This window comes from Homo sapiens, chromosome 4, assembly GCF_000001405.40.
Source record: "Homo sapiens chromosome 4, GRCh38.p14 Primary Assembly".
Classification (NCBI taxonomy): Eukaryota; Metazoa; Chordata; class Mammalia; order Primates; family Hominidae; genus Homo; species Homo sapiens.
In genome coordinates, this window is record NC_000004.12 from 130764486 (window position 1) to 130775827 (window position 11342).

General features: G+C 39.1%; 1 annotated feature.

The window, feature by feature from the left end:
- Positions 2684–3468: an enhancer, noted in NCBI's record as "OCT4-NANOG-H3K27ac hESC enhancer chr4:131688324-131689108 (GRCh37/hg19 assembly coordinates)". NCBI's record gives its function as "activates a minimal SCP1, AML or CMV promoter by ChIP-STARR-seq in naive and primed H9 embryonic stem cells {active_cell/tissue: H9 hESC(naive and primed)}" and the evidence as "EXISTENCE:reporter gene assay evidence [ECO:0000049][PMID:30033119]".

Genomic DNA, 11342 nt, shown 5'->3' on the forward strand with positions numbered 1-11342 from the left:
TGAAAAGAAAGATGATTTTGCTGAAAACTACTAGGCTAAAATGGAAAGCTCTATGAACTTCGTATTTGTATTAAAGATGTTACATCATCAATATTATATACCTATTAAGTATATCATAATTGAAAGCAGCTCAATGTTACATAAATATTATTGAATATGTCAGATTAATTTTTAGAAGCATTTAATTAACATTAAATTTATGCATATCAAGATTATGATCAATAAAACTGATATTTATGTTTTATTTAATAATTACTAAAGTATATTTTCACAAACGTCACACTTAAGGGCTGATTCTGATAATTACATGTTAAAACTAATTTCAATATAACAATTTTTCTTCAGATCACATAGTGTATTAGAATAACTATTTTCTGCATTGTACATTCTTTTAGTTCACATCACAATAGAAAAGAGAGGACATTATTGTTCTTCTACTCATAATTAATGATTGGTAATACTTTTAAAAACTTTAATTTTGTGAGTAGGAAGCCAAAATACTAAAATTGTTTTTTTTTAAAGGTAATATCTAAAATTTTAACTGATTCTTGGTTTTCCAGTGTTTAAACTAGTGAACATTTTAATTCTAATATGTGGTGTATATTCTTCAAAGGAGATGATAGATTAAGTATTTCACTGAAAACCAAATAGACCATTATTTTCAGCTGTCTGAAATGCTCCCTGTCTCTGTTCACAAAGCAAGCCATATAATCAGCTTTGGAACTTAATAATATCGTTCAAGTGAATAGGAATATAGGAAACAAGACGAAAGGAAGCTAATGCAATATAATAGTACACTTCACTTTTGCAATTGGACAGGTAACTATTATTTCTCAGAATGCTATAGTCCAGGAGTTAGAAATTAAAATTTAATTTTAGACATATTAACTAAAACAAATTGGATGGTTATATTATCAAGTATTGCAAAAAATACATTTGTAGGATGTTTGTAGTACATTATCTTGGGACTAGGAATATCTTCCTGTTTATTAGAAAAGGACACATTCATATGCCTCTTTTGTATAAAGAAGTTACAATAACTTTTCTCCATTAGTTGAATTTATGATAGCTTAGAATGATATTAATAATTTGAAAATATTTTATACTGTTACTATATTTACTATTTTAAACATCCCACTATCTGTTTTTGAAATATTCATAAAATAGCACATAAAAGCCAATAAATATTACAGAGATATTTATATGACTTATAGGAAATAATTTGTTCTGTTATAATGTAATGTTGATTAACCTGTACTATCAATTCCAAAATAATGTACAGATTTTTATGGCTAAAAATTTTAATGACTTAAAATTCTATGCACACACACATTTTAATTGAGGTAAATTTACATACAGTGAAATGAAATGAATAAATCTCAAGTGTATTATTTAATTAGTTTTAAGAAATTCATAGACCTGGGAAATGTATGCAGCTATCAAGAAATAGAAAACTTTCATCATCCGAGAAGCTTCCCTCTGGCCATCCCAGTCAAAATTCTTCTCAGAAGAAACTAATACTCCCCTTCCTTTCGACATGGATTAGTTTTACTTGTTCTATGAATTCTTATAAATACAATACAGTTTCTACTTTTCTTTGTTTCTCTTCTTTCTTTAAGCATAATGCTTTCCAGATTTATCTAAGCATTTCAAAGAGTTACCTGTAACCTCAGTAAAATATTCATTGTCAAATTTAAAATTAAACCTTAAAAAAAGTAATAGACATAGTAAAATTTTAAATTGGAAAACAGAAACTAAAGGCTTTCAATAATCAGTAAACCAAACATTCCTGTGTATTAAAACATAGTTTTAAATAAAAGAGGAAAAAATATACATTAAGGAGGGGAAAAAAGCATAATAGTTAAAGTACACGAGTATAAAAGAGCATTGTAGACTTAAAGATATATATCAGTCATAAAAATAAATGTGAATAGCTAAACTTAATAAAAGAAAAAGTATTTTATCATGGCTCACAAAGCTCGACAAAGTCATATGTTGTATACCAGATATACATCCAAAATAGTGTGATTTAGAAGGAATGGACAAGAGCATACCAAACAAAATAATTTTTTAAAACAGTTGTAACAGTCTTGACATCAGATAAGTGGAAATCAAGCCACAAACATTAAACATGACAAGAAAAGTCACTTTTTAAAGCAAAAAGAAAAAATTTACAACAAAAACATTATATTTACAGTTGCTATTCACCAAAAATAACCCTCAGAAACAAAACCCAATAGATCGTCTAGCACTACAAATGTTATGAACAAAAACTATGGGCACTACAAGGACACAGAGAAAAATGCAATAATTATTGGAAATGTAATACACAATTCTATGTAAAAGACTTAGTAAGTGGACACAAAATGTATTTGCCAGACAATTAAGGCACAAATAGCACAGTAAATAATATAGATTTTATGGCGATTACTAATGTGTGTGCACATATGAATGTGTCTATGGTCTGATAAGAGAACACACTTTGTTAAGTGTACATGAGATATTCACACAAATTAGTCATAGATTAGGTAACAATGAAAACATTAAATTCCATGAATTGGAACTATGAAAAATATACTGTATAATCATGTCATAGAACTGGAAATAATGAATAATAGAAATAGAAAAGTGGCATGTTTACCTAGAGACTAAAACTCACTTCATAAAACAACTTTTGAGTCAAAGGGAGATACAAATTGAAAAAGCAAACTAAAACAAGCCTTTGGGAATTTGATAATATCCAACAGCCTGTATATTGACTTACTCTTGATTCAGCTATTCCACTTCTAGGAAGATACACCTTCAATAGCATGAAAATCCAAATGCAACACAGTATATACTGAAGCATCATATGCAGCTGTAAAATACTGGAAATAATCTAAATGTCCTAGAGGAAAGTGGTTGAATTAACTATGATACCAGGTGTCAGGCCTCTGAGCCCAAGCTAAGCCATCATATCCCCTGTGACCTGCAAGTACACATCCAGATGGCTGGTTCCTGCCTTAACTGATGACATTCCACCACAAAAGAAATGAAAATGGCCTGTTCCTGCCTTAACTGATGGCATTATCTTGCGAAATTCCTTCTCCTGGCTCATCCTGGCTCAAAAGCTCCCCTACTGAGCACCTCGTGACCCCCACTACTGCCTGCCAGAGAACAACCCCCCTTTTTCCTTAACCTACCCAAATCCTATATAACGGCCCCACTCCTATCTCCCTTCGCTGACTCTGTTTTCGGACTCAGCCCGCCTGCACCCAGGTGAAATAAACAGCCTTTTTGCTCACACAAAGCCTGTTTGGTGATCTCGTCACATGGACGCGCATGAAATTTTGTGCCGTGACTCGGATCAGGGGACCTCCCTTGGGAGATCAATCCCCTGTCCTCCTGCTCTTTGCTCCATGAGAAAGATCCACTTACAACCTCAGGTCCTCAGACCAACCAGCCCAAGAAACATCTCACCAATTTCAAATCTGGTAAGCAGCCTCTTTTTACTCTCTTCTCCAACCTCCCTCACTATCCCACAACCTCTTTCTCCTTTCAATCTTGGTGCCACACTTCAATCTCTCCTTTCTCTTAATTTCAATTCCTTTCAATTTCTGGTAGAGACAAAGGAGACACGTTTCATCCGTGGACCCAAAACTCCAGTGCTGGTCAAGGACTAGGGAAGGCAGCCTTCCCTTGGTGTTTAATCACTGCAGGGATGCCTCTCTGATTATTCACCCAGGTTTCAGAAGTGTCAGACCATGCAGGGACTCCTGCCTTGGTTCTTCAACCTTAGCAGCAAGTCCCACTTTTCTGGGGGAAGGGCAAGAACCCCAACTCCTTCTCTCCATGTCTCTATCCCTTCTCTGCTTTTCTGGGGGAGAGACAAGAACCCCTCAACCCCTTCTCCTTCACCCTTAGCGGCAAGTCCCGCTTTTCTAGGGGAGGGGCAGGAATCCCGACCTCTTATCTCTGCACCCCGATCCCTTATTTATGTGCCCCGACCTCTTATCTCTGTGCCCCAACCTGTTATTTCCATGCCCCGACCTCTTCTCTGCTTTTCTGAAAGGCAAGAACCCCCCACCCCTTCTCCCTGTCTCTACTCTCTTTTCTCTGGGCTTGCCTTCTTCACTATGGGCAAGCTTCCACCTTCCATTCCCCCTTCTTCTCCCTTAGCCTGTGTTCTAAGAACTTAAAACCTCTTCAACTCTCACCTGACCTAAAATCTAGGCATCTTATTTTCTTCTGCAATGCTGCTTGACCCCAATACAAACTCAACAGTAGTTCCAAATAGCCGGAAAACAGCACTTTCAATTTTTCCATCCTACAAGATCTAAATAATTCTTCTCGTAAAACAGGCAAATGGTCTGAGGTGCCTGACGTCCAGGCATTCTTTTACACATGGGTGCCTCCCTAGTTTCAGTTCCCAATGCAACTTGTCCCAAATCTTCCTTCTTTCCCTCCCACCTGTCCCCTCAGTCCCAACCCCAAGCATCACTGAGTCTTTCTAATCTTCTTTTTCTACAGACCCATCTGACCTCTCCCCTCCTCGCCAGGCTGAGCTAGGTCCCAATTCTTCCTCAGCCTCCGCTCCTCCACCCTATAATCCTTTTATCACCTCCCCTCCTCACACCTGGTCTGGCTTACAGTTTCGTTCAGTGACTAGGCCTCCCCCACCTGCCCAGCAATTTACTCTTAAAAAGTAGCTGGAGCTAAAGGCATAGTCAAGGTTAGTGATCCTTTTTCTTTATCCCAAATCAGATAGCATTTAGTCTCTTTTTCATCAAATATAAAAATCCAGCCCAGTTCATGGCTCATTTGGCAGCAACCCTGAGACACTTTACAGCCCTAGACCCTAAAAGGTCAGAAGGCCGTCTTATTCTCAAAATACATTTTATTACCCAATCTGCTCCCAACATTAAATAAAACTCCAAAAATTAAATTCCGGCCCTCAAACCCCACAACAGGACTTAATTAACCTTACCTTCAAGGTGTACAATAATAGAGTAGAGGCAGCCAAGTAGCAACATATTTCTGAGTTGCAATTCCTTGCCTCCACTGTGAGAGAAACCACAGCCACATCTCCAGCACACAAGAACTTCCAAACGCTTAAACCACAGTGGCCAGGTGTTCCTCCAGAACCGCCTCCCCCAGAAACTTGCTACAAGTGCCAGAAATCTGGCCACCAGGCCAAGGAATGCCCACAGCCCGGGATTCCTCCTAAGCCGTGTCCCATCTGTGCAGGACCCCACTGGAAATCAGACTGTTCAACTCACCTGGCAGCCACTCCCAGAGCCCCTGGAACTCTGGCCCAAGGCTCTCAGACTGACTCCTTCCCAATCTTCTCGGCTTAGCGGCTGAAGACTGACACTGCCTGATTGCCTCAGAAGCCCTGTAGACCATCACGGACGCCGAGCTTTAGGTAACTCTCACAGTGGAGAGTAAGTCCGTCCCCTTCTTAATCAATACAGAGGCTACCCACTCCACATTACCTTCTTTTCAAAAGCCTGTTTCCCTTGCTTCCATAACTGTTGCAGGTATTGACAGCCAGGCTTCTAAACCTCTTAAAACTCCCCGACTCTGGTGCCAACTTAGACAATACTCTTTTAAGCACTCCTTTGTAGTTGTCCCCACCTGCCCAGTTCCTTTATTAGGCCGAGACACACTTTAACTAAATTATCTGCTTCCCTGACTATTCCTGGATTACAGCTGCATCTCATTGCCACCCTTCTTCCCAATCCAAAGCCTCCTTTGCTTCCTCCTCTTGTATCCCCCTACCTTAACCCACAAGTATAAGATACCTCTACTCCCTCCTTGGCGACCGATCATGCACCCCTTACCATCTCATTAAAACCTAATCACCCTTACCCCGCTCAATGCCAATATCCCATCCCACAGCATGCTTTGAAAAGATTAAAGCCTGTTATCACTCACCTGCTACAGCATGGCCTTTTAAAGCCTATAAACTCTCCTTACAATTCCCGCATTTTACCTGTCCTAAAACCAGACAAGCCTTACAGGTTAGTTCAGGATCTATGCCTTATCAACCAAATTGTTTTGCCTATCCACCCCATGGTGCCAAACCCATATACTCTCCTATCCTCAATACCTCCCTCCACAATCCATTATTCTGTTCTGGATCTCAAACATGCTTTCTTTACTATTCCTTTGCACCCTTCATCACAGCGTCTCTTCGCTTTCACTTGGACTGACCCTGACACCCATCAGGCTCAGCAAATTACCTGGGCTGTACTGCCGCAAGGCTTCACAGACAGCCCCCGTTACTTCAGTCAAGCCCAAATTTCTTCCTTATCTGTTACCTATCTCAGCATAATTCTCATAAAAACACACGTGCTCTCCCTGCCGATCATGTCCGACTAATCTCTCAAACCCCAACCCCTTCTACAAAACAACAACTCCTTTCCTTCCTAGGCATGGTTGGATACTTTCACCTTTAGATACCTGGTTTTGCCACCCTAACGAAACCATTATATAAACTCACAGAAGGAAACCTAGCTGACCCCATAGATCCTAAATCCTTTCCCCACTCCTCTTTCCATTCCTTGAAGACAGCTTTGAAGATTGCCCCCACTCTAGCTCTCCCTGACTCATCCCAACCCTTTTCATTACACACAGCTGAAGTGCAGGGCTGTGCGGTCGGAATTCTTTCACAAGGACCGGGATCGCGTCCTGTAGCCTTTTTATCCAAACAACTTGACCTTACTACTTGGCCTATCCCTTAAGTCTGCATGTGGTGGCTGCCACTGCCCTAATACTTTTAGAGGCCCTTAAAATCACAAACTATGCTCAACTCACTCTCTACAGTTCTTATAACTTCCAAAATCTATTTTCTTCCTCACACCTGACACATATACTTTCTGCTTCCTGGCTCCTTCAGCTGTACTCACTCTTTGTTAAGTCTCCCACAATTACCATTGTTCCTGGCCCAGACTTCAATCCAGCCTCCCATATTATTCCTGATACCACACCTGACCCTCATGACTATCTCTCTCTGATCCACCTGATGTTCACCCCATTTCCCTACATTCCTTCTTCCCTGTTTTTCACCCTGATCACACTTGGTTTATTGATGGCAGTTCCACCAGGCCTAATCGCCACACACCAGCAAAGGCAGGCTATGCTATAGTACAAGCCACTAGCCCGCCTTTTAGAACCTCTCATTTCCTTTCCATTGTGGAAATCTATCCTCAAGGAAATAACTTCTTAGTGTTCCATCTGCTATTCTACTACTCCTCAAGGATTATTCAGGCCCCCTCCCTTCCCTACACATCAAGCTCAGGGATTTGCCCCCACCCAGGACTGGCAAATTAGCTTTACTCAACATGGCCCGAGTCAAAAAACTAAAATACCTCTTAGTCTAAGTAGACACTTTCACTAGATAAGTAGAAGCCTTTCCTGCAGGGTCTGAGAAGGCCACCGCAGTCATTTCTTCCCTTCTGTCAGACACAATTACTCAGTTTAGCCTTCCTACCTCTATGCAGTCCGATAGCAGACCAGCCTTTATTAGTCAAATTAGGCAAGCAGCTTTTCAGGCTCTTAGTATTCAGTGAAACCTTTATATCCCTTACAGTCCTCAGTCTTCAGGAAAGGTAAAACAGACTAATAATCTTTTAAAAACACACCTCACCAGGCTCAGCCACCAACTTAAAAAGGACTGGACAATACTTTTACCTCTTTCTTTTCTCAGAATACAGGCCTGTCCTTAGAATGCTACAAGGTACAGCTCATTTAAGCTCCTGTATGGATGTTCCTTTTTATTAAGCCCCAGTCTCATTCCAGACACCAGACCAACTTAGACTGTGCCCCAAAAACTTGTCATCCCTACTATCTTCTGTCTAGTCATACTCCTATTCACCATTCTCAACTACTCATACATGCTCTGCTCTTGTTTACACTGCCAGTTTACTCTGTTTCTCCAAGCCATCACAGCTGATACCTCCTGGTGCTATCCCCAAACTGCCACTCTTAACTCTTAAAGTAAATAAATAATCTTTGCTCCAGGGCTATGCTGAACCTCCTTAGGCACTCTCTAATTAGATGTCCTAGGTCCTCCCAATTCTTAGACCTTTAATACCTGTTTTTCTCCTTCGCTTATTCCGTTTAGTTTTTCAATTCATACAAAACCGTATCCAGGCCGTCACCAATAATTCTAAATGACAAATATTTCTTCTAACAGTCCCACAATATCACCCCTTACCACAAAATCTTCCTTCAGCTTAATCTCTCCCACTCTAGGTTCCCACGCCGCTCCTAATCCCGCTCAAAGCAGCCCTGAGAAACATCGCCCATTATCTTTTCATACCATCCCCCAAAATTTTTACGGTCCCAACACTTTACCACTATTTCATTTTATTTTTCTTATTAATATAAGAAGACAGGAATGTCAGGCCTCTGAGCCCAAGCTAAGCCATCACATCCCCTGTGACCTTCACGTACACATCCAGATGGCTGGTTCCTGCCTTAACTGATGACATTCCACCACAAAAGAAGTGAAAATGGCCTGTTCCTGCCTTAACTGATAGCATTATCTTGTGAAATTCCTTCTCCTGGCTCATCCTGGCTCAAAAGCTCCCCTACTGAGCACCTTGTGACCCCCACTCCTGCCTGCCAGAGAACAATCCCCCTTTTTCCCTTACCTACCCAAATCCTATAAAACAGCCCCACCCCATCTCCCTTCCCTGACTCTTTTCAGACTCAGCCCGCCTGCACCCAGGTGAAATAAACAGCCTTGTTGCTCACACAAAGCCTGTTTGGTAGTCTCTTCACAGGGACGCGCATGAAACCAGGACATCCACACCATGGAATATTTAATACTGTGCAGGGGTAGAAAAAGAGATTGATGTAGAGTTTCAGGATATATCATTAAGTGACAAAAAAAAAAAGTGTGAAAATGTATCTGTAGCTTTCTGTCTTTCATGTAAGACTAAAGAGGGATTAAGAAAATACATATGTATCTGTATTTTTTGAAACAGGAAATACAAGAAGAACACATTATGAACTAATTAATGTGGTTTCATGTAGGGATGGTGGTAATGGGGCAGAAAATGAATATATAAAAATGTCTTAGAATGAATAAGAAGTATGGGAAGTTAACACTTCTTTGAATATAGCTATTTGTATATGTTGGTCTTTTAGAATACAGCTGATGTTTCACATTCTAAAAACCTAAATTTTTTTAGAATAAGAAATATAGAAGGAGATCGAAACCATCCTGGCTAACAAGGTGAAACCCCGTCTCTACTAAAAATACAAAAAAAATTAGCCGGGCGCGGTGGCGGGCGCCTGTAGTCCCAGCTACTCGGGAGGCTGAGGCAGGAGAATGGCGTGAACCCGGGAAGCGGAGCTTGCAGTGAGCCGAGATTGCGCCACTGCAGTCCGCAAGTCCCGCCTGGGCGACAGAGCGAGACTCCGTCTCAAAAAAAAAAAAAAAAAAGAAATATAGAAAAAAGATCCTGGGGGACAAGTGGAATAGAAAAGGTGTAAGGAATTCAAATCTGTTACAAATGTGTAACATAATCACACTGTAAAGGGTGAAAAGAAAATAATTAGCTTATGTAAGTTTATAACATAGTTATTTGTATGTTATAAAGTTACATTATGTATTCATGTATTTAAATACATTATGTCTTATGTATTTAAGGCCAAGTACATAAGACCCATTCTTAAATATTGTTCTTTAATATTGTAGAGAATATATTGTAGAGAATGAAAGCCAAACTCGTCATTGTCTGAGAAGAGACAGGTGGGGTTAGAATAAACCCTGAGGTGTTAGATTGATATTGGAGATATCAGTATGAACTCAGGTTATATATATTTTGATAGATATGTGATTATATACGTATAAGCTCATTTGTACATTTCCTATCTATTTCTGCTGAAAGGGCCCAGAAGCAATGAAACCTTAGCATCAGTGAGCACTTGGACAGTAAAATATTAGTTTCTAAATAAACATTTTCTAATAGAAACAAGTACAGATATCTTTGGAGAAATGGCTCATTTATTTCTTGGCCAAAAATAATGGAAACAGTATATGTTTGTGGTCTCAAATTATTTCCCTGTATGATACTGATAATCATAAATGAAAGAATAGTAACATTACAGTGGAGAAAATCTAGCAGACATGACATTAACCAAGTGATCAAAGTTATCATCATTAATGAAACATATTAGCATTATGTGCCTCCTGGTGTACTGAGAAGAGAACAACATCTCTGTTGTATACTTGCAAAAAAAAAAAAAGGCATTTCTTAAACTTCTTCCTAAGAATTGACCAGACAAATTCAAATTGAGGGACAACATCCAAAATTAATGGCCACTGTAAGTTTTGATAGGTAAAGGCTAAATAAATATCCTAGAAAAACAAAGTTACCAAGATGACAAGTAAAAACAATGTACAATGATGGTCATTGATGAAATAATTAACAATATTTGAACGGTTAGTAGTAATGCATTGATATTGATTTTCTGTTTATGATAATTACGTGGTGGTTATATAAAATGTTCACTTTTAGGAAAGTCATGTCAAAAATATAGACAAATTATTTGTCGTGTTTTTGCAAACTTTGTGTAAGACTAAAATTATTTCCAAGTGAAAGTTAAAATTTTTAAAAAATAAAAAGTAATGTCTGGTTTCAGTGATGGGACGTTTGGCTTTCATTTCCATGAACATGGAGACTGTCACCACTTAATGTATGAAACTGTTCTCAAGTCCTTAGTTTTCATAATTATTGGAATGATACTTAAAATGGCCCCTGTTGGTATATTCATGCTTGGCTATTTAAGTACTTAAGTGTTTGTTCAGGAGATACTAATTGAAAGATTGATATATTTCTATTCCACATCTCTGCTTGAATGGCATATGGATGCTTCAAATTTAAGATATCTCCAAGCTGGCTCATGATTCACCTCCAAAATCATGCCTGCTCCTCTCCAAGCATTAAACATCACCGTAAATGGAAACTATATTCTGCCAAATGATAAGATCTAAAAAAAATCTCAAAATCATGTGATTGTTTCTTTCCCCTCACAATCCATATCTGCTAAACCTAGGGATTTTATTTCCAAAACACATCTGGAATGCAAAGATTCAACTTTCACCATTATCACTTTACTGTAACTGAACCCCATTTCTTGTCTAGTCTATTTTCACAATTTGTAAAGTTTCTTGCTTTACGCTCCCCAGTTGCCTCTCCTCTATCCTACTCACCCTTACCTCTGCCCACACTCCCACCACCCCTGACACATTTTACCCTTTATTTGGCAGAAAGAGTGATTCTTTGAAAATGTGGTCTCACCATTTCACGAATCTGCTTATAGCCCTCCCATGGCATTTCATCTTA